The 25,153-nt window shown below is 36.5% G+C and overlaps 1 protein-coding gene across 3 annotated transcripts in view; it reads left to right on the forward strand.

Moving 5' to 3' along the window:
* The window catches only part of KCNN2 (potassium calcium-activated channel subfamily N member 2), a 440,519-nt gene that overhangs the window by 27,766 nt on the left and 387,600 nt on the right, over positions 1–25,153 (forward strand). For 2 of the 3 annotated variants that reach the window (XM_047417166.1, NM_001372233.1), the window contains exon 3: positions 21,970–22,038. The exons of the other annotated variant lie outside the window; for it this stretch is intronic. The gene's annotated coding sequence lies outside the window, so the exon portion shown is untranslated. The remainder of the gene's footprint in view (positions 1–21,969; positions 22,039–25,153) is intronic. 3 annotated transcript variants of the gene reach the window in all.

Genomic DNA, 25,153 nt, shown 5'->3' on the forward strand with positions numbered 1-25,153 from the left:
ATGGGTTTTGACAAAAGCATAATGTCATTAATCCACCCTTACGTTATTACAAATGATAGTTTCACTGCCCTAAAAATCCTCTGTGCTGAACCTAGTCATCCCTCTCTTCCCACTCCAAACCTCTGGAAACCACTTATCTTTTTACCATCTCTGTAGTACTGCTGTTTTTGAATGTTGGAATCGTAGTATGTGGCCTTTTCAGTCTGGGTTCTTTCACTTAGCAATATGCATTTAAAATTCCTCCATGTCTTTTCATGGCTCCATAGCTCACTTATTTTTATTGTTGTGTGAAATTCATTGTATGGATGTACCACAGTCTGCTTCTCTAGTCACTTTTTGAAGGATATCTTAGTTGCTTCGTCTTTTTGGCAAATATGAATAAAGCTGCTATTAACATTCATGTGAAGATTTTTGTTCAGACATATGCTTTCAAGTCATTTGGGTAGACATGTAGAAGCATGATTACTGTATGGTATAGCATGACTATGTTTAGCTTTGGAAAAAAACTGCCAAACTGTCTTCCAAGGTGGCTGTAACATCTTGTATTTACACCAACAATGAAGTTCTCATTGCTACACAGTCCCGCCAAAGTTTGATATTGTCCATTTTCAATTTTAGTGATTTTGATACATACGTTATGGTATTTCACTGTTGCTTTAATATGCAATTTCTTAATGCCATGTTGAGCTTTCTTTCAAGTGCTTATTTGCCATCTGTATAACTTCTTTGGTGAGGTATCTGTTCAGATCTTTTTCTTATTTTTAAATTGGGTTGCTTGTTTTCTTACCATTGAGTTTTAAGAGTTCTTTGTATATTTTCGATACAGGTACTTTGTCAGATATATTTGTAAATATTTTTCCCAATGTCACCTGTCTTTTAGTACTCTTAACAATGTCATTCACAGAGCAGATAATTTTAATTTTAATGAAGTGCTACTTATCAAATTTTTTGATCATGGATCATACTTTTGGTGTTTATCTAAAAAGTCATCACAGAACACAAGGCCACCTAGATTTTCTTCTATGTTTTCTTTGAGAAATTTTACGGTTTTTGGTTTTACAACTAGGTCTATGATTCAATTTTGAGTTAATTTTTATGAAAGGTACAAAACCTGTGTCTAGATTTGCTTTTTTGCATGTCCATTTGTTCTAGCACCATTTTTTAAAAGATTGTCTTCTCCTTTGAATTGCCTTTACTCCTTTGTCAGCAATCAATTGACTCTACTTGTGTGAACCTATTTCTGAACTTTATATTCTCTTCCATTGAGATATATATATATATTTTCTGTTCCATTGATTATATATAGAGACATATATATATATATATGTGTGTGTCTATTCTTTAGCTAGTACCGTGCTGTCTTGATTACTGTAGCTTTAGAGTAAGTTTTGAAGTCAGATAGTGTGTGTTCTTACACTTTCTTCTTCGTTTTAGCTAGTATTGTGCTAGCTTTTCTGGGTCTTTTCCCTTTCCATATAAACTTTAGCATCAGTTTATTGATTTCTACAAAGCAGCTTACTGGGATTTTGATTTTAATTGTATTGAATCTATGGGGCAAGTTGGGAATAACTGACATCTTAATAATAATGAGTCTCTCAATTAATTTATATCTTTAATTGCTCTCACTAGTTTCTGTAGTTTTCTCCATATAGATCCTTTACATATTTTGTTAGATTGATAGTTAAGTATTTCATTTTTTGGTGTTATTGCAAATGATATTGTGTTTTTAACTTTAGTTTCCAATTGCTCATTGATGGTATATCAGGAAAAAATTCACTTTTGTATATAACCTTATATCTACAACCTTAGTATAATTTCAGATTTTAAAAATTGATTTCCAAATAAATTCTGTTGTATAAAAAACACACTGTTTAATTTTAACTTTTTAAAATTTATTGAGACATGTTGATGATCAGCATAAAATCTAAGTTGGTAAATGTTTCGAGTGCACTTGAAAATAATTTTGAGTTATTATTTTGTAAATATCAATTAAGTCAATTGGGTAATTTTGGTTTTTTAAAAGTCTCCTTTATATTTACTAACTTTTGTCTTTGATTCCATCAGTTACTAAAAAAGAATTGTTGAAACCTCTAGTAATAGTTATTATGTTATCCGTTCCTTTTTTAAGTTCTGTTCATTTTGCTTTATATATTTTGAAGCACTGTCATTTGGTACATACACACTGAGGATTCTTATGAATTTTTGATGAATGGACTCTTTTTTCAGCATAAAATATCAGTCTTTATCCCTGCTAATATGGTTAGTCCTAAAGTCTATTTTGTCTGATATTAGTATAGCAACTACAGCTTTTCTTTGATTAAAATTTGCATTGCATATTCTTTCTTCCTTTTCTTTCTTTGTCTTGTTTGCCATCTCTCCCTTCCTTCCTGTTTATTTTTTAACCTTTTGCTATGTTTACATTTAACAGGCATTTCTTATAGACAGTATATAGCTGTGTGTTTGCTCATTCTAAAAATCTTTACCTTTTAACTGGGATGATTAGTCCAATCTGTTTATTTATTTACTCATTTATTCTGTTTTTCAGGTTTTATTTTAGATTTGGGGGTATATGTGCAGGTTTGTTACCTAGGTTTACTGTGTGATGCTGGGGTTTGGGGTATGAATGATCCTGTCACCCAGGGACTGAGCATAGTACCCAATAGTTATTTTTAAGTCCCTGTCTCACACGTTTCCTTGCCCATCTAGTAGTCCTCAGTGTCTGTTGTTGCCATTTTTATGTCCATGAGTATCCAATGTTTAGCTCCCACTTGTAAGTAAGAACATGTGGTATTTGGTTTTCTATTCCTGCATTAATTTGCTTAGGATAATGGCCTCTAGCTGCATCTATGTCACTGCAAAGGACGTAATCTAATTCTTTTTTATGGCAGGTAGTATCCCACGATGTGTAAGAACCACATTTTCTTTATCTTATCCACCACTGATGGGCCCCTAGGTTGATTCCATGTCTTTGCTATTGTGAATAGTATTCTGATGAACACACAAGTGAATGTGTCTTTTTGATAGAATGATTTGTTTTCTTTTGGATATATACCCAGTAATGGGATTGCTGGGACAAATGGTAGTTCAGTTTTAAGTTCTTTGAGAAATCTCCATACTGCTTTCCACAGTGGCTGAACTAATTTACATTCCCACAAACAGTGTATAAGTGTTCCCTTTTCTGTGCAGCCTCACCAGTATCTTTTGTTTTTTGACTTTTTAGTAGTAGCCATTTCTGATTGGTGTGAGATGGTATCTCATCGTGGTTCTGTTTTGCATTTCTCGGATGCTTAGGGATGAGGAGCGTTTTTTCATTTTTGTTGCCAACTTGTATGTTTCTTTGAGAAGTGCCTGTCCCTTTGCCCATTTTTAAATGGATTTATTTGTTTGTTCCTTATTGAGTTGTTTAAGTTCCTTGTAGATTCTGGATATTAGACCTTTGTTGGATGCATAGCTCATGACTATTTTCTCTCCCATTCTGTAGTTTTGTGTTTACTCTGTTGATAGTTTCTTTTGTGGTGCAGAAGCTTTTTAATTTAATTAGATCCCACTTGTCAATTTTTGTTTTTGTTGCAGTTGCTTTTGATGACTTAATTATGAATTCTTTCCCAAGGCTCATGTTCAGAATGGTGTTTACTAGGTTTTCTTCTAGGATTCTTATAGTTTGATGTCTTACATTTAAGTCTTTAATCCATCATGAGTTAATTTTTGTATATGGTAAAAGGTAGGGGTCCAGTTTTATTCTTCTGCATGTGGCTAGCCAGCTATATCGGCACCATTTATTGAATTAGGTAGTCCTTTCCCCCCTCTTATTTTTGTCACCTTTGTCAAAGATCAGATGGCTGTAGGTGTCATAGTTCATTCTTATTTATGTAATCTTTGATATGGTTGTGTTTATATCTACCACTTTACTTTCTAAAATCCATCTTATTTATTTTCTTTTCCTCTTTTTCTTTTTTTCTTGACTTCATTTGGATTAATTGAGTAAATTTAGTATTCCATTGTGTCTTCTCTCTTGGCTTATCAACTGCTTTGTTTTATTTTTTAGTGTTTGTTATAGAGATTTTAATATTATCTTTAACTTCTCACTGTCTACCTTTAAATAATTTTATATTACTTTTCATGTAAGAACCATACAAGAATATATTTCATTTTCCTCTCTAATTCCTTATGCTATTCTCAACTGTATATTTTATTTCTATGTGGGTTATAAATCTCATGTTTCTTAACATTGTTATTATTTTTTATAGTTTGCAGATTCTATCTGATATTTTTCTTTAGTAAGATCTTCCTTTAAACCATCTTTAGTGCGAATCTGCTGGCAGTGGGTTCTCTCAGCTTTTATTTTTTTCAGGAAAAGAATCATATTTCACCTTCATTTTTGAAGGATATTTTCACTGGATATAAAATATAGATTTATAGTTTTTCTCTTTCAGAATTTTACAAACAGACATTTATTGTTTTATGGCTGGCATTGCTTCTGAAATGATGTAGGGCTGTGATTCTTATCTTTGGTCTCCTAAAAGTAATATGTCTTGTTTCTCTGGGTGATATTAAGTTTTTTTCATCATTTATTCTCAAAAATCTCATTAAGATTATGATGTGCTTTGATAGTATTTTTGTGTGTGTTTATCCTGCTGTTTTTTTTTTGAGCTCATTTTTCTGCCCTAACTTTTCAGTTCTGTTCTTCTGGGACTCCAGTTACAGCTGTGTTAGAAATCACTGAAGCTCTGTCCATTTTTTTTCCTGCTTTTTTGTTCCTTTGAAAACACTTGATTAGTATCTATTGTTTTTCTTCCAGTATTCTTATAATTTCTTCTTCAATATCTAATCTGTTAAGCTCATCGAGTGTATTTTTATTTTTGTTTTTTGTTGTTATTTGTTTTGTTTTGTTTTTGAGATGGAGTCTCGCTCTGTCGCCCAGGCTGGAGTGCAGTGGTATAGTCTCAGCTCACTGCAACCTCTGCCTCCTGGGTTAAGAGGATTCTCTTGCCTCAGCCTCCCAAGTAGCTGAGATTCTAGGCGTCTGCCACCATTATCAGCTAATTTTTTGTATTTTTAGTAGAGGCAGGGTTTTACCATGTTGGTCAGACTGGTCTCGAACTCCTGACCTCAAGTGATCCACCCACTTTGTCCTCCAAAAGCGCTGAGATTACAGGCGTGAGCCACTGCGCCCAGCCACATTTTTTATTTTAAATATTGTAATATCAGTTTTAAAAAATTATTCTCACCATACTGAGTTTTTTAAATGTAATTCCTTAAACATATTTATAATAGATGCTTTAAAGTTTTTGTCTGTTAATTCTATCACCTGTCGTTTTGGAGCCTGTTTTTATTGACTGAAATTTCTGTCAGTTATCAGTGTAGTTTTCAGCTTCTTTTTATATCTTGTAACTTTTTATTGAATGCTAGATACTATAAATGGTGTGCTACCAAGTGTTTGGATTTTGTTGTCTTCCTTTAAAAATAGTTGAATTTTGTTCTGGCAATTAACTGCTCATGAATGAGCTTGATACTTTTGAGACTTAAGCTTTGTTTGGGTAGATCTAGAATAGCCATTATCACAGGGCTAGTTTACCTGTGAGATTCCAGTCCCGGCTTAGTCCTATTCCTAAGATAAATGTTCCAGATGTTGAGTGTGACGTCTTCAATCTGGCTCACCAGCACTGGAATGTCTCCCAACGCAGTGGGAGCGCCAGTTGTTCAGTGTACAAAAGCCTGGGTATTTTTAAATTCATAATTGTTCTTTGGCAGGCCTTGTGGAATCTCATCCTACTCATGTGTAGTTGGGTAGTCAGGCAAAAATTCAGGAGGAATCTTAAGCAAATTTATAGAATGCTTTTCTTGTAAATTCCAAATTGCCAATTCCAGCTGCCTGTGCCCCCATGAACTTAAATCTCTGTTTTCTTGGTTTAGAGAAATTGCTGTTTTCCTTTTGTATTTCTTCTCCATAGAATGGGGTCTGAAAATTGCTTTAGACCAAAAGCTGAGGCAACAATAATTTCAATTTTTATTTTAATCTGTAGCTTTTGTTTATAATGGCACATAATGTGGGTTAAACCATTCCTGATAAGAGAGAAGTAGAAGAATTTAAGACTGAGAAAAACTTCCAGAATTTTCTGATCTCCCTTTTATATACTTCAAGTACAAATCGAGGATCTGAGTATTTTACTTTGCTTAAAGTATTTCTTAATACTTTTATTGTTTTAGTAGATGTTTTACAATGTATTCTATGTGATGTGGGTGGTCTGGATATTTATTCTCATAGTTATGCCTCAAGAAAAGCTGGCAAGCTTGAATCAATGGATATCCCTTAATTAAATAAGAAAATATGAATTTCAGTGTGTGAACTATACTATACTGTCATTCCAGATATCTTTTTATATATTTAGAGCAAAGGCAATCGTATGGATTTTTAATGACCTAAAATTTAAAAGGTGGTATTTCTTATAGTTCTGTACAAGTCAGTAAGTCAGGAAAATCTCCAAGTAAAGCTTTACAGTGGCAAGAAGCCTTAAGGATGAGGAAGAAATTAGGATATACTGATTCTTTTAAGGTATCTTCTGTGGCACACTCAAGATAACATAGCAATGAGCTAAAACGTCCAGAAGAAAGAATTATAAGTACATTTAAAACCTAGGAGGAAAAGTGGTTTATTTCTTTGCAGAGAACAGACATAAATAATCATCTTAAATTGGAAGGCTGGACAAAATATTCACAGGTTTATGTGTTCTACAGGAAAGACTGAATTCATAACCATTACTATCTGTTTCTCTCTCCCTCACTCTTCCTCTCTTTCTCTCTTCCTCTCTCTCTCTCTCTATATATATATGTATGTATATATATACATATATATACCACATATATATGTGTATATGTGTATACATCATTGAATATAGATATGCTATATTTAAATTGAAGAAAGAACATTTGAATAGAGCTTTATGGCTTAAAATGTATTTTTCACTTTATTATTTTAATCCTCATTATACTATCCTGAGAAAGATATTGTAGCAATCTTCTGTGGAGACTTAGTACTTTTCCCTATTCCTGTTCTTCCAATACCAGTAGCCACCTTACAGTTTTCCGTTGGAGAATCTCTGCCCCCCACCCTTTTTTTAAAATCGAGACAGGGTCTCACTCTGTTGCCCAGACTGGACAGCCTCAACTCACTGCAGCCTTGACTTCCAGGGTTCAAGTGATCTGCCCACCTCAGCCTTCTGAGTGGCTGGGACTACAGGCATGTACCATGCCCGGCTAATTTTATTTTATTTTATTTTGTAGAGATGGGTTTTTGCCATGTTGCTCAGACTGATCTCAAACTCCTGTGTTCAAGTGATCTACCTGCCTTGGCCTTCCAATGTGCTGGGATTACAGGTGTGAACCACTGTGCCCAGCTGTGTGCCCTAGAGTTCCAGGAAGGCTGTTAATCACAGTCTCCTGCTATCCCCTGGCTATTTTCCCCTGGTGGTCAGTCAAAATTAACCACCCTCCCCTTCCACTTCAGTGGCTGGTTGAAAACCTGAATGTAATTCTGTTTGGCTCTATGAGAGCTCTCCTTGGCACTTTCCTACTGAAATCAATATGGGGAACATGTCCTCTTGCCTTAGGGGTTCTGTTACTAGATATATATAAATTCGGAGCTACCTGAAATATCCAAATTGATTAGAGTAGGAGAGAATGAGGTTAAGATCCTGAGTTCAGATGAAATGAAGAGATAAAAAATATTTCCCAGTGGGCTGAAGTCTTAGATCCAGCCATATTTAAGCTGTTTCATGAACAGATAAATTCCTTTTCCCTTAAGCTAATGAAAGATGGGTATTTTTCACTTGCAACCTATATTAGTCCATTTTCATACTGCTGTAAAGAACTGTTCAAGACTGAGTAATTTATAAAGGAAAGAGGATTAATTGATTCACAGTTCATTGTGGCTGGGAAACTTATAATCATAGTTGAAGGTAAAGGGGAAGCAAGGCACCTTCTTCACGAGGTGGCAGGAAGGAGAATGAACACAGGATAAACAACCAAATGCTTATAAAACCACCAGATCTCATGAGAACTCACTATAATGAGAACAGCAATGTGGAAAACTGCTTCCGTGATTCACTTACCTCCACCTGGTCTCTCCCTTGGCACATGGGGATTTTGGGGATTATGGGGATTATGATTCAAGATGAGATTTAGGTGGGGACACAAAGCCTAACCATATCATTCTGCCCCTGGCCCCTTCCAAATCTCATGTTTCTTTCACATTTTAAAACCAATCATGCCTTCCTAACAGTTTCCTAAAGTCTTAATTCATTCCAGCGTTAACCCAAAAGTCCAAGTCTATCTGAGACAAGGCAAGTCTCTTCTACCTAAGAGCCTGTAAAATCAAAAGCCAGTTAGTTACTTACAAGATATAATTGAGCGGGGGTGGGTACAGGCATTGGGTAAATGCTCCTGTTTCAGATTGGAGAAATTAGCCTTAACAAAGGGGCTACAGGTCCCATGAAAGTCTAAAATCTGGCTGGGTAGTCATTAAATCTTAAAGTTCCAAAATGATGTCCTTTGACTCCATGTCTCACATCCAGGTCATGCTGATACAAGAGGTGGGCTCCCATGGCCTTGGGCAGCTCAGCCCCTGTGGCTCTGAAGGGTACAGTTCCACTCCCAGCTGCTTTCACGGCCAGGCTGTTGTTGATTTTCTGTGGCTTTTCCAGGTACATGGTGCAAGCTGTCAATGGATCTGTCATTCTGGGATCTGGAGGACAGTGGCCCTCTTCTTCTCACAGATCTACTAGGCAGTGCCCCTGTGGGGACTTTCTGTGGGGGCTCTGACCCCACATTTTCCTTCTGCACCACCCTAGCAGAGTTTCTCCATGAGGGCTCCATCCCTGCATCACACTTCTGCCTGGACATCAGGCATTTCCTTACATCCTCTGAAATCTCAGCAGATGTTCCCAAACCTCAATTCTTGAATCCTTTGCACCCACAGGCCCAACACCACTTGTAAGCCACCAAGGCTTAGGGCTTGCCTGCTCTGAAGCAATGGCCTGAGCAGTAAGTTGGCCCCCTTTAGCCATGGCTGGGTTGCAGGACACCAAATCTCGAGACCGCACAAAGCAGCAAGGCCTTGGGCCTGGCCCATGAAACTATTTTTTCTTCCTGGGCCTCCAGGCTTGTGATTGGAAGGGCTGCCGTGAAGACCTCTGACATGCCTTAGAGACATTTTCTCCATTGTCTTGGTGATTAACATTTGGCTCCTTGTTACTTATGCAAATTTCTGCAGCTGCTTGAATTTCTCCCTAGAAAATGGGTTTTTCTTTTCTGTCACATTGTCAGGATGCAGATTTTCCAAGCTTTTATGCTCTCCTTTCCTTTTAAACATAAGTTCCAATTTCAGATCATCTCTCTCAAGTTCAACGTTGAACTCTCTCAAGTTCAAGTTCTCTCTCTGCTCAAGATCTCTAGGGCAGAGGCAAACTGCCACCAGTCTCTTTACTAAAGCATAGCAAGAGTGACCTTTGATTCAGTTCCCAATGAGTTCCTCACCTCCATCTGAGACCACCTCAGCCTGGACTTCATTGTCCATCTCACTATCAGCATTTTGGTCAAAACCATTCAACAAGTCTCTAGGAAGCTCCAAACTTTCCCACATCTTCCTGTCTTCTTCTGAGCCCTCCAAACTGTTCCAGCCTCTGCCTGTTATCCAGTTCCAAAGTTGTTTTCACATTTTCACATTTTTGGGTATGTTTTTAACAGTGCCCCACTCCCAGTACCAATTTACTGTATTACTCCATTTCCATACTGCTATAAAAAACTGCCCAAGTCTGGGTAATTTATAAAAGAAAGAGGTTTAATTAACTGACAGTTCAGCATGGCAGGGGAAGTCTCAGGAAACTTACATTCCTGGCGGAAGGTGAGGGGGAAACAAGGCACCTTCTTCATAAGGTGACAGGAAGGAGAATGAATGCAGGAGGAAATACCAAACTCTTATATAACCATTGACTCTTGTGAGAACTCACTTATTATCACAAGAACAGCATGTGGAAAACCACCCCCATGATCCAATTACCTCCACCTGGTCTCTCCCTTGACAAGTGGGGATTATAGGGATTGTAATTCAAGATGAGATTTGGGTGGGGACATAAAGCCTAACCATAGTACAACCTAAAGAATTTTCCCTGTTACAGATATTCTCACCTCAGTTTATAGGTGAAAAACTGAGACTCTGTAAGGTTAAGGAACCAATCTATGTATATATAGTGTGGGAGACTTGATTAAAACCTGTTCTCATTTCAGCTAAACATTCCACCTGCCAAGTAACATGCTACTTAAGAATAAATATATTTGTTTGTTTGGGTTGTTTTTTGTTTGCTTTTTTTGTTTTGCCTTATTTATGGGTGACCTTGTTTTTGTTTCCAAAGAGAGTTTGCTGTCTGACTGTGTAACTTTCCTGCTTGCACCCTAGCAGATGGATATCTGTGTAGCTGTTTTGTGACACTCTTTACCTGCCCTGCTCCCTCAAGGCCAGATTCTGTTTTTTTCAGGTCTTCAGCACAGAATAGATTATCTGTAGAACCACACTTACCCCACCAGACCTGAGCATTTTAAATCTGAAAATTGTTGAGAAGGATCCAAGCTGAGCATCTCAGCTTATACCATTGCAGAATCTTTCGAAAGACTCTGTAGTTGTCTAGTCAGGGTAGAAGAAAGGATTCTTCTTCTTTGTTTAAACATGTGTTGGCTGGCCTTCATGTCCCTAGACAGTGTCCTGCCATTCTGGAAGACCAAATGGCAGATAATTGGGCTTAGGATTTAGGGGAAAAACTACTTCCATGCTTTGTGAACAATAAGAAAAGAAAAGGAACAAGTAAAGTGATTTTTCAAAGGTTAAATACAGTAACACCTCCTGAATTTAGCTTTGCTGGAGACAGCTGCTTCATAAGTGAATTCCGAAGAAACACTTTAAGTACCAAAACCGGTTTATAAAAACCTATTTTGACAATTATAAGATTGAAATCCTTCTAAGATCTGTTGCATACTTCCCTGCTTTGCTCTCTGAATCAGAACTCTCCTAATGTCATCTATTTGCTTGGAAACTTAGGGTCCTCATTATTGACTATTTTTTGATGACCATACAATGGAGTACTCAATGCTTTCTTATAATTCAATCCTGCTTTTATATAATATTGGTTTTCTATTATATATTTTTATATGATAATTTTCTCTATCAACTGCTTTATCTTATGGCTGTTGTTCTTTACTACTGCTTTAAATATTGTCTTATTTTATATGCAATATGCATGAGGCCTGATTCCAGCCTGTCTTCTAGAGTAGAGAGTGAAGAATATGAAGCAGCTTCTTTTCTCTAACCACATCTGTTGTTTTTGGGGTATCTTTATAACAGTGTTGTTTTAAACTACTATGTTTGTGGTAATTTCATTTACATCTGTTGTCTCTAGGTGGGCCTGGACACAGAACATCACTGTGTTTCAGGGAGAGAGAGGAAGCAGAATTTGGCTAAATAAATACCTGCTTAATAATAATAACTATCATTTTGCTGAGCACTTGTGAGGTTTCTGGCACTGTGCCTTATCTCTTTTAAACTTCCCAACAAGGCTTAGAGGAAGATTTGCCAGGCATTGTGCTAAATGTTTAATTCATATTATCTCATTTAATGCTCAGACATCCCTATGAGCCTCAGGAGAAGAAGGTAACTTGGACTTAAAACGAAGGCAGATTATAACCTCATCTCACTGGATCCTGGGAGAGATTTGGCATCACAGTGGAATTACAAATTATATCATAAAAGGTTCCATTTAACAAGGTTGCCTGGAGTCACAGAGCAAATGGCAGAACCAAGATTCAATTCTGATTGTTCCAGGGAGCATGTTTTTAAGCACCATTCAGTTGGCCTTAATTTTCTTATTTGCATTTTCTACCTTGTTTCTCTGCTTAGTACAGCAGGCTTCCTCTAGGGCTTGGCCTACCTAACTCCTTTTAGCTCGTCTTTCCTAGGATGGGACTCCTCTCCCTGCTGTAGTCTACTTGCCTTAGACATATCTCCTTGTGTCCCCCAATAATTTTTTTTGACTTCCAAATTGGACTCCATATATGCACCTGCTGTATCCTTTGTACACTGTGCTGAGAATAGTCCAGTTGTCCAGGATATTTAAGTTTACATTTATATATGCCAGTCTGTCTTTTTTCAAGCATATCAGTATTACATTTATTTAAAAACAGGCTATGTCATCTATCTGGCCTATAGAAAATGCACCTATGGATCTATAGATCCTTTGCCATACCTTGAAGTCCCCTGGGGACTGAGTCCACAGGTTGAGATCACTGTCCAGGAGCAGTGTAACTTAATGTCAGAGAGCCAGGCTCAGCAGCAGTCAAATAGATTTGTATTCAAACTGTGATTCTCCAGCTCTCTAGGTTCTGTGATATTGGCTATGAATCTCAACTACTACCCAGCATGAGTACCTTTTCCTAAGGATTATTTTAACGTTTCAGTGAGATCAGGCATTTAAACTGCTTAACACATAATATCAAGACAGCAATCTATTCGTATATGGAGGCCATGGTTTGGAGGTTAAAGACAGTTAAAACAACTATACACTAACTTTGACCATGCTACACTGGATCCCTGGCTTATTTGGTAATACAATCTCAATTTACAAGTTCTATTACATAATACAATTGAAATAAGGACTTGCACTATCTAGATAGTGAAGAGACTTGAAACCAAGCTATATACTCATGACCTGTACATCACAGAGTCATTCCATGTGGTATCATTCTCCTCTCCTGTCTCTGTCAGGCGCTATGGTGCAGAATCCAGGCCTGGATTTGAAGTTCTTACTCACCTCCCACAGATGTGGGAAATCTCACTGTAGCCCCAGGAAGGTCCCTCTCTCCCTCGTGGTACTCCTCCTGTGTTCCACTCTTTCCTGCAGACTTTCTCTTCCCTGCATAACTTCTCTTCCCCACAGGCTTCATTTCTCACTGGAAAGTCCTGGAGACTCTGCCACAGAAACCCTGGTGATCTACCATCCTAATTGACAACCATGCAAACAAAGGAAAGATGGCTCAAGGAGACAGAGTATTCATCTGTAATCTTTTAGAGGATGGCCAGAATAATAGCTACTGTAACTAAACCTACCATATCCCACTTAATCTTTCCATTACTCCAGTGGAGCAAGTTCTGCTATTACCTCCCTTATATAGATGAGACACTGAGACTCAGAGACACCAGGTAACTGGCCCAGGGTTACCTAGCTAGTAAGTAAAGGAGCAGAGATTTGAACCCAGATCTATTCAACTCTGAACTCTAGGCAATTACACCTCTTTCCATAAATGTATCCTGAAAGTATTAGATCCAAATAGTAGACCTACTTGAATGGTTAGATTTGATAGACATTGTTCGGGAAATATGCTTTTTATGAAAGTTCTTTTTCTTGTAGGTGACATTACAAATTAATTATAGGTCCAATCTTAGTTTTCACATGATGGAAAGTAATCATGGTTGGGGAGGTATTTCCCACAGGGTCCAGTCAATTTCATTTTGTTCGGATTACAAACCCTCTGATCTGCAAGTTAGTTCCAGCATTTAAAAGGATAAAGACTGTTGTAATACCTGTGCAAATCCATTAGCACTGCTGGAGAACTGTCTCTGTGTCCTGTAGTTGATGGTCACTAGTGTCATGGGTATATGTTTAGCATTCATTCCTACCTCATGGATTATGGTGGATCTGAAGTAGCCTGAAGACAGTAGTAGGTTTCATTCACTATAGCTTGTTCCCCTGGCTGAGTGTCAAAATATTAAAATGCTGTCTCTCGCCACTTCCTGCCCAGTCCTGCCGCTATTGAAGGTAGCAGACAATTAAACATGAACGTCTCTTGTTTTCTTTTGCTCTTATTTTCTTCAGAGGGCAAACAAAGCATATAAAGTTCCCCATCCACTTAAAGTATTAGAGCACAGACTCTTTGATTAGAACTTCTATTCCATCTTAAGCTCTGAGAGTGGCCACTAGCTCCCCCTAGATTTATCAAGTGAGCTGCCATTGGTAAGCACCTTGTCCACCTCCTCCCTGGTACCTCCTCTGAATATTCTGCTAATTTGTCTCCAGTGTCCTAAGCTTCCTTCAGTCTCCTTTATTTGTTTCCTTTTGCTGCTGTGACAAATTACCACAAACATAGTAGTTTAAAACAACATGTTTATTTTCCTACAGTTCTGGAAGTCAAAAGTCTGAAATGAATTTTGCATGGCCGAAATTAAGGTGTCGGAAAGGCTGGTTCACTTCTGGAGGCTCTAGGGGATAATCCCTTCCCTTCTCTTTTCTAGTTTCTAGAGGCTGTGCTCCTTCCGTAGCTCATCATCTTTCTTTCCGCTTCTGTCATCACATGGCCTTCTTCTCTGTCTGACTTTCCTACATCCCTCTTTTAAGGACCCTTGTGATTTCATTTGATCTACCTGGATAATCTCTCCATCTCAAGGTTCTTCACTTAATCATATCTGCAAAGTCCCTTTTACCATGTAAGGGAACATTCACAGCTTCTGAGAATTAGGACTTGGATTCTTTAGGGACCATTGTTTGGTCTACCACAGGGGTCCCCACTGCTGGGCCACAGACTGGTACCAGTCTGTGGCCTGTTAGGAACCAGGCTGCATGGCAAAAAGTAAGTGGCAGGCAAGTGAGCATTACTGCCTGAGTTCTGCCTCCTGTCAGATCAGTGGTAGTATTAGATTCTCACAGGAACATGAACCCTATTGTGAACTGTGCATGTGAGGGATCTGGGTTGCAAGCTCCAGCTAATGCCTGATGATCTGAGGTGGAACAGATTCATCCTGAAACCATCCCCACTCCCCCCTGCACAATTCCCCCAACCATGTCCGTGAAAAAATTGTCTCCCACGAAACTGGTCCCTGGTACCAAAAAGGTTGGGGACCGCTGGTCTACCACACTTCTCTTTTATGGAGGATTGCCCAAAGAAAAAGAAAGGTTCTGTGATGTCATAGAATTAACATGAAACCTGTGGCACAGAGATTTGGCTCCAATCTTTTTTTCCCTCTTTTATTTGTATAAATTTATGGGGGTACCAGTGGCATTTGGTTACATACATAGTTTCCACAGGGGTGAATCTAGGGCTTTGGCTCCAGTCTAGAATCTGACATTATACTCACTGTCAGACTGGGAACCAAGTACTCCACATCCTTGAGAGAAGGCTTAATCCACAAATATCCCTCCCAGCTATAAAATTTGTATAACACAAAACATTTATTTATATTAAAATATAAATGACTTGAAGCAATTTTACCACATATTAGGCTTTTCTCCAAAGGATTGACTTTATTCTGAAAATAAATAATTCATCAAATTTGATGTGATAAGTGTTTTCTTTTGACAAAAAACGTACCCTGAACTACTGGAACCACACCACATAGGCAGCCAGGTTCTTCCTCCAGTATTAAGACCAGTCCAATTTGGGGCCAGTCACATACATAAATATGTAGGCCAAGGTTTCTCAGCGTGATTATATATATAATACAGATTATAGCAAGATTATAGCATTATAAAAAATCACCAATTGCTAGAACTGAAAAGCGTTACTCCCACTTCCTCTTTCCACCTCCTTTTTCATTTTGCACATAAGAAAACAAAAACTTGGAGGAGAAAAATTGCTTGACCAAGTCCTAGCAACTACATTGAGGAAAAGTTAAGACTATTATTAGAGTCTTTTTTATTTTTCTTGAAAAGACAGGATCTCACTCTGTTGCCCAGGGTGGAATGCATTGCTTATTCACAGGTGCAATCATAGCATACTATAGCCTGAAACTCTTGAGATCACGGGATCCTCCCTCCTCAGCCTCCCAGGTAGCTGGGACTACAGGCACATGCCACCATACCTGACTTAGAGTCTTTTCACTTCATATTTAGAGTTCATTGGCAATTGTGCTATTTATGATTTTGTTCTTGGAAAAATTTTTGGACCAGATTGCTTTTCTTCAGATATAGTAGCCCTACTTTTCAAAAAGTTTTAGTCAAAAAGACTGTCTATATAATGACCATAGGTATTACGTTTGAATTGATTTATATTTTTGACATTAGAGAGGTCCTCACACAAAAAGGTGTCTTTTAAATAATATATATAAAGAAAAGTTTTTATTTATAAAATATTAAATACATTATTCAAGTAAGTCTTTTGTACTTTTGTATGAACTCCATAGGATATGAGATGCTCAATGTATTTCTTCACAAATTACAATCTATCATGTTATAATATCTTATTCCTAATTTAAACATCTCTATAAATCTCAATCTTATAGATCAGAAATGAGTGAAATTAATTACAAGCAGTGGATGAAAACAGTAGAAAGGAATGAGACCTGAGTGTAATTTTAATGTAGATTTTATTTTGAGCCATATTAATGTTTTACGTATTCCAATAGGAGAAATAAATTTAAAAGGGTGAAGGAAAACCCCCAAGATTAAATGACCCAAAATATACAGCAAATTTATAAAATAACTACAAAGAAGAAAAAAATAGTAGTCCAGGTAGATTTTATAGATGGAGCTCTAGCTTTCTTCCCTTAGTGGAATATATTTTAAAAGTAAAATGAATCCCAAAGAAATATTAATTTGTTAAGTTTCTTGTTGGAATAGTATTGCTGGGTATGGGTGTAGTATTGCTGGATTTTGAGTATTATAGGATTAATCAAGGAACTAAGTATATTGTTCATGGAAACCAGTGTTCTCACTGCAGAGAATGCAGAAACAAACTACGAATGAAAAGAAGAGAGGAAGTATCCTCTTCTTGGGTGTATCAGTATGAATATATGTATCCATGTGGGTATGTGTGTGTTTATGAGTGTGTGTATGTATGTGCTCTGCCCATCTTAAGGGCCAAGAGGCAATGAGTCCCCAGTGACAAGGAGATCCCTGGAGCCCAGACTTTGATTTCTAAATGAAAGGAACTAAGGCTTCTTGGAGAAATTATGGATTCCGGGTCAGAGGAGAAGTATAAGCCAAGCCTAAACTATTTTATTAGGCCAGAAAATAAGACGTATTCAAAACCCGATATGGAGATGTCCATTTTGGCCAAAATTAGAAGGTTTGAACAGGAAAAGAATAGTGAAATAGTGGATTATAAAACATTTAGTTAAGAAGAATATAAGTCCATAGTTACATTACATTTTATATATAATTATTAATATATCAATATTGTAGATCTCTTTTCAAAATATTTATATAATATCCTTATTTTATATACAGACCTATGGATATACTTACATTAAGTGCTTTAATAACTTTATATTTTTCACTATTATTATAACTTTTATTTCTTATGGTTGGATATTAAAGCTCTGTCCATAAATTCTAAACTGAATATTATTTGGTACATGTTTACATTTTTTGGATATAATTTGCTTGGTAGTTTTTGTTTATACCCAGCTGTGGTCCACTTTTAAATCTTTGTGAGTAGTCATAGAATTTTAGAATTAGGAAAAATTTTAGAGAATATTTGGCTCAATAGTCATCCATCCCATAAATATGATTCAAACTTTTACATTTTAGGCACTGTCCTGCACAGGATTATATTGGTCCTGGTGCAGTAGGTGTAATCACATCTCTAGGTGGCGCCATTTACATAGTGGTTTATGCCAGTGGCACCATCTATGGTTTTCTTTTTTTTTTTTTTCTTTTTTTAAAATTATTATTATTATACTTAAGTTCTGGGATACATGTGCAGAACGTGCAGGTTTGTTACATAGGTATACATGTGCCATGGTGGTTTGCTGCACCCATCAACCTGTCGTCTGCAATTAGGTATTTCTCCTAATGCTGTCCCTCCCCTTACCCCCACCCCCTAACAGGTCCCAATGTGTGACGTTCAGCTCCTTGTGCCCAAATGGTCTCATTGTTCAACCCCCACTTATGAGTGAGAACATGTGGTGTTTGGTTTTCTGTTTCTGTGTTAGTTTGCTGAGAATGATGGTTTCCAGCTTCATCTATGTCCCTGAAGAAAACATGAACTCATCCTTTTTATGGCTGCGTAGTTTTCCGTGGTGTATATGTGCCACATTTTCTTTAACCAGTCTATCATTGATGGGCATTTGGGTTGGTTCCAAGTCTTTGCTATTGTGAGTAGTGCTGCAATAAAGATACGTGTGCATGTGTCTTTATAGTAGAATGATTTATAATCCTTTGTGGATATACCCAGTAATGGGATTGCTGGGTCAAATGGTATTTCGAGTTCTAGACCTTGAGGAATTGCCACACTGTCTTCCACAGTGGTTGAACTAATTTACACTCCCACCAACAGTGAAAAAGCATTCTTATTTCTCCACGTCCTTTCCAGCATCTGTTGTTTCCTGACTTTTTAATAATTGCCATTGTAACTGGCATGAGATGATATCTCATTGTGATTTTGATTTGCATTTCTCTAATGAACAGTGATGATGAGCTTTTTTTCATGTGTCTGTTGGCCACATAAATGTCTTCTTTTGAAAAGTGTCTGTTCATATCCTTCATCCACATTTTGATGGAGTTGTTTGTTTTTTTTTTCTTGTGAATTTGTTGAAGTTCTTTGTAGATTCTGGATATTAGCCCTTTGTCAGATGGATAGATTGCAAAAATTTTCTCCCATTCTATAGATTGCCTGTTCACTCTAATGATAGTTTCTTTTGCTGTGCAGAAGCTCTTTAGTTTAATTAGATCCCTTTTGTCAATTTTGGCTTTTGTTGCCATTGCTTTTGGTGTTTTAGTCATGAAGGCCTTGCCCATTCCTATGTCCTGAATGGTATTCCCTAGGTTTTCTTCTACGATTTTTATGGTTTTAGGTATTATGTTTAAATCTTTAATCCACTGTGAGTTAATTTTTGTATAAGGTGTAAGGGAGGGGTCCAGTTTCAGTTTTCTGCATATGGCCATCCAGTTTTCCCAACACCACTTATTAAATAGGGAATCCTTTCCCCATTGCTTGTTTTTGTCAAGTTTGTCAAAGATCAGATGGTTGTAGATGTGTGTTGTTATTTCTGAGGCCTCTGTTCTGTTCCATTGCTCTATATATCTGTTTTGGTACCAGTACCAAGCTGCTTTGGTTACTGTAGCCTTGTAGTGTAGTTTGAAGTCAGGTAGCGTGATGCCTCCAGCTTTGTTCTTTTTGCTTATGATTGTCTTGGCTATATGGGCTCTTTTTTGGTTTCATAGGAAATTTAAAGTAGTTTTTTCTAATTCTGTGAAGAAAGTCAATGGTAGCTTGATGGGAATAGCATTGAATCTATAGATTACTTTGGGCAGTATGGCCATTTTCACGATATTGATTCTTTCTATCCATGAGCATGGAATATTTTTCCATTTGTTTGTGTCCTCTCTTATTTCCTTGAACAGTGGTTTGTGGTTCTCCTTGAAGAGATCCTCTACATCCTTTGTTAATTGTATTCCTAGGTATTTTACTTTCTTTGTAGCAATTGTGAATGGGAGTACACTCATGATTTGGTTCTCTGTCTGTTATTCGTATATAGGAATGCTTGTGATTTTTGCAAATTGTATCCTGAGACGGCTGAAGTTGCTTATCGGCTTAAGAAGTTTTTGGGCTGAGATGATGGGGTTTTCTAAATATACAATCATGTCATCTGCAAACAGAGATAATTTGACTTCTTGTCTTCCTATTTGAATACTCTTTATTTCTTTCTCTTGCCTGATTACCCTGGCCAGAACTTCCAATACTATGTTGAGTAGGAGTGGTGAGAGAGGGCATCCTTGCCTTGTGCCTGTTTTCAAAGGAATGCTTCCAGCTTTTGCTCATTCAGTGTGATATTGGCTGTGGGTCTGTCATAAATAGCTCTTATTATTTTGAGGTACATTTTATCAATGCCTAGTTTATTGAGTGTTTTTAGCATGAAGGGGTGTTGAATTTTGTTGAAGGCCTTTTCTGCATGTATTGAGATAATTGTGTGGTGTTTGTCATTGTTTCTGTTTATGTGATGGATTACGTTTATTGATTTGCATATGTTGAATCAGCCTTGCATCCCAGGGATGAAGCTGACTTGATGCTGGTGGAAGAGCTTTTTAATGTGCTGCTGGATTCGGTTTGCCAATATTTTATTGAGGATTTTCGCATCTATGTTCATCAGGGATATTGGCCTGAGATTTTCTTTTTTTGTTGTGTCTTTGCCGGGTTTTGGTGTCAGGATGATGCTGGCCTCATAAAAAGAGTTAGGGAGGAGTCCCTCTTTTTCTATTGCTTGGAATAGTTTCAGAAGGAATGGTACCAGCTCCTCTTTTTAGCTCTGGGAGAATTTGGCTGTGAATCCGTTTGGTCCTACGCTTTTTTTGGTTAGTAGGCTATTAATTACTGCCTCAATTTCAGAACTTGTTATTGGTCTATTCAGGGATTTGACTTCTTTCTGGTTTAGTTTTGGGAGGGTTTATGTGTCCAGGAACTTATCCATTTCTTCTAGATTTTCTGGTTTATTTTCTAAGAGGTGTTTATAGTATTCTCTGATGGTAGTTTGTATTTCTTTGGGATCAGTGGTGATATCCCCTTTATCATTTTTTATTGTGTCTATTTGATTTTTGTCTCTTTTCTTCTTTATTAGTCTGGCTAGTGTTCTATCTATTTTGTTAATCTTTTCAAAAAACCTCCTGGATTCGTTCATTTTTTGAAGGGTCTTTCATGTCTCTATCAGTTCTGCTTTGATCTTAGTTATTTCTTGTCTTCTGCTAGGTTTTGAATTTGTCTTTGCTTTGTTAGTTCTTTTGGTGATGTTAGGGTGTTGATTTTAGAAGTGTCCCATATATGCTTTTCAAAGAACCAAGTGTAGCATGTTTGTTTGCAATACCCTGGTTCCTGGATATAAACTAGTTGACAAGACAAGTTCTAGACCTATGGAAACTTCTCATTATAGAAAAGAAAAAATACATGCAAATCAGCAAATATACAAGAATGATAAAAGCAACATGACTGGATGCTGTGGGAGTGCATGAGAGGGCCGCCTACCTCAGAATGGGGAGATGGAGGCACACTTCCTGAGAAAATAAGTTATATCTCTGCTGAGGTCTGAATGAAAAAGGCAGGCTCGGGGGAGGAAAGGAGGGGAAGAGAGATGGAGGAAAAATGTTTAGGCAGGGTTCATTGCAAGCTCTTGAAGATAAAGAGAGAGGATTGTGCTCAGGGAGTAGAAATAGTTGTGTCGCAGGAGCAAAGAGGCACAATGAAAAGCTGGAGGCCACAAGAGGTTAAGTGACTTTCCCAGTGTCACCTATTCTGTCTTCTCTTCTGATTCATTAATGAACGTGTTAAATTGCAACAGGTTCATTCATCACGAGTACAATTATATACCCCAGGAAATGTTCTGTCAAAAACTCTATTACAGCGTATTCTCTGATAAATCCTTACCCTAGACTGGAGCTTGGCAGTTCTCAGATGGCTGCAACTATTCCTGTTCATCTTTGCACACCCCGCAGAGCCTATTTGTTGCCTTGCACACAGATCATCTTCAGAGGTGTTTTGGTTGTTGAGATCCCCATCAATATAAATAACTGAACCATAAACAGTGATTTCAGGAAGATATTTGATCCTGATTTGAGGGTATCTTTATATTCAGAAGCTAAATGCAAAAACATTTTTAAAAAGCCAAGAGCAAAAGCTACAGCTTCTTTGATAGCATCCTGTTTGCAAGTCTCATTTGCTTCTGGTATTCTTCCTGTTAGTAGTCAATACAAGTCATCTGTAAGTCAAACAAAATTGAATTGATAAAATGATAAATTGACATGAGTCGATCTTAAGGGAGTCCTAAAAACATTAAGATGTGCTTTGCTTCCATTTATAACAATGTGTATACAATACTGCATTCATGTAATCAAATTATCTTATAATTTTATTTTGAAAAATCAAATATATTTCACATTATTTTGATGCCAAAATACCAGGGTAATTTGTTGCTAATGGATTATCATATTTGCTTTCTTCTTTTATTAGGTTCATGAAATTTTCAGGAATTAAAGTTAGTCCTGAGGAAAGTTCATGAATGTCTAATGCTGGACTGTGGTAAGTCCTCAGTCTTCAGCCATTTTTGTTTGGCAATAATATATATTTAGTTTATTTGTCTGGGTTGGTTAAAAGCAGAATTTGTAATTTCCATCAATATTATCATTTCTTGTTATACTTATTCTGAGATATTTCATATTATTTCTATAAAAAGTTCATTTATTACAGTTTTCTAATTTGTTATAGTCATAGTGTATTTATTCACCTTATGTTTTTCTTTTGAATTGATCATATGTTAGTAGTAACAAGTATATTATTAGTTGTAATATTTTCTCCCAACATTTTACTAATGAAAAATTTTAAATATTTTGGTAAATTGAAAGCATTTTGAAGTGAACATTTATGTACCCAAAATCTGGTTTCTACCATTAGCAGTCTACTTGTTAATCTTTTTCAGCTATTTTTTTTTTTTACTTAATTCTCTTGCCAAATTCTGTGTTTGAATTTTGTACTTTACTCATTCTATAGTTTGTGAATGTTTGGGCTGTTTTCAGTTTTTGTCTATTATGAAGCATTCTGTAATAAACACTCTTGTATAATTTTTGCTGTATATTTACATTCATTGCTATGGTATATATATCTAGGAGTGGAATTGCTTGCTTATAGGATTTATGCATATACAGATCTAGTATATATTGCGAAGGGTTTTCCAAAGTGGTTATATTAATTCCAAAGTGGTTGTATTATTTTAAAATCACAACAGTATATAAGAGTTATAGTTGCTCCGCATTCTCACTAATACTTGGTATTGTTATTCTTGTTTGTTTTTTTTAAAGCTATTTTAATAGATGGATATCATGTTTTGTTGTTGCTCTAATTTGGATATTCCTGGTGACTAATGGCACTGAGGATTTTCCAGTTGTTTTTTTTTTTTTTTTGGTCATTTGGATGTCTTTTTGTGTGTGTGTGTGAAATGCCTGCTGCATACTTTTACTCATTTAAAAATTAGATTGTCTGCTTTTTCTTATTAATTTGCATAATAACTTCATATATTCTGGGAGTCTTCTATCAGCTATATGTATTGAAAACCTCTGCCACTCAGTGGTTTGACTTCTTACTGTCTTAATAACTTTTTATGAACAGTTTTAATTTTTAATGAGGTCCAAGTTATCAACCTTTTTGTTTATGCTTGATGCTATTTCTGTCTTGTTTAAGAAATCTTTGGCAGTTACAAGGTCATGAAGATATTCTCCTATTCAATCTTTTACAAGCTTTATAATTTTACCTTTCACATTTAAGTCTTTAAGTCACATTAAGTCAATCCATCTGGAACTTATTTTTATGCATGAAGTCTAAGGGTCAAGGTTTTTAAAAAATTTTTCCTCTCATATGATTATCCAATTAATCACCACCATTCATTGAGAAAACTATTATTTCTCACTGCACTGTAGTAGCATCTTTGTTGTAAAGTAGGTAATCATACATGTTTGAGGCTACTTTAGAGTTCTCTATTTTGTTCCAACAGTCTATTTGTCTATTTTTGAGCCAGTACCATAGTGTTTTTTTTACTATATTTTTACAATAAGCTTGGTATCTGATAGTGTAACTCCTCCAAGTTTGTTCTCCCTTAAGATTGTATTTCCTAGTGTCCACTCTTTGTGTTATAATGTGCATTCTTTTTGAGATGGGGTCTGACTCCATTGCCCAGGCTGGAGTGCAATGGCACAATCATGGCTCGCTGCAGCCTCAACATCCTAGGCTCAAGTGATCCTTCTACCTCAGCCTCCTGAATAGCTGGGACTACAGCCATGCACAACCATGCCTGGCTAATTTTTTTTTTTTAATTTTTAAGTTATTTTGTAGAGACGAAGGTCTGTGTTGCCATGCTGTTCTTGAAATCCTGAGCTGAAGTGATCTTCCCATCTGGGCCTCCCAAAGTGTTGGCATTATAGGCATGCACCACCTCACGCAGGCATCATTTGCATTTTACAATGAGCCCATCAATTTCCACCATAAATAAAACAGCTAGAATTTTTATAGGAATTACATCAATTTTATCTATCTATCTGTAAATTTGGAATCAATTGACAACTTTACAACATTGAGTTTTCCAATTCTCAAATATACCATAATATAAACCTTCACTTGTATATATTTTTAATTTCTCTTGGTGACGTTTTGCCGCGTTCTTGGTTGCATTACTTTCATTGGATCTACTATAAGGTGTTTGATCAAATCTATTAGAAATGGTATTGTTTTGAAGCTTTGTTTTTTAACTTTGGTAGATAGGATATCTAATGTCCTTGCTAAAGATTAATTTGTATTTTATGTTATCTAAAAATAATGGTGGCTCTCTGTCTCTATTTTCTATCTTTATTTTCTTTTTTTGAAAGCCTCTCTAGGACAGTGTTGCATAGAACTGGTTTTGGTAGACCTTCTTATTTCATGTGTAATGACAAGAAAAAAGTTCGAAGGGAAGGATTTCTACATTTCAGTATAAAATATTTACTGTAGGTTTAAAAATTCTTTATCTTCACTTTATTAGATTATTCATAGTTTGTTGAAAATCTGTTTCCTCGTCATAAAATGGAAGACATTGTTAATTTTATCTAAAGAGTTGAATTTATATTTATAAAATTGTTCACAGTGTCTCTAGTCTTTTTTTAATTGAGGCACAATTTATGCATAGTGAATTATACAGCTCTTAAGTTTATATAATTTGGTAAGTTTTGCCCACATATTAAAAAGCACTATAAAGATTTAGAATATTTTCATTACTAAGAAATTCCCTTATGCCCTGTTCCAGTAAACCTCTAACACACATTTGACTTCTTTCACAGATTACATTAGTTTTTCCTTTTCCTGAACTTCAACAAAAAAGGAATAATACATCTGTATTTATTGGGAGGGGGATTCTGACTCCTTTGTCTCAACATAATATCTCTTAGAGTCATGCATGCTGTTGCATGTATCAGTAGTTTCTTGTCTTCTTATTGTTGAGTAATATGCCATTGAGTGAATAGGACAACATTTGTTTATCAATTCTGCTATCAATTGACAGTGGATTGTTTTCAGTTTGGGGCTTTTGTGGTTAAAGCTGCAATAAGCAATTATATAAAAGCCATTTTGTGGGCATATGTATTACTTTCTCTTGGGTAAACAGAAGTGGAACCAT

Source organism: Homo sapiens, chromosome 5 (genome assembly GCF_000001405.40).
Source record: "Homo sapiens chromosome 5, GRCh38.p14 Primary Assembly".
Classification (NCBI taxonomy): Eukaryota; Metazoa; Chordata; class Mammalia; order Primates; family Hominidae; genus Homo; species Homo sapiens.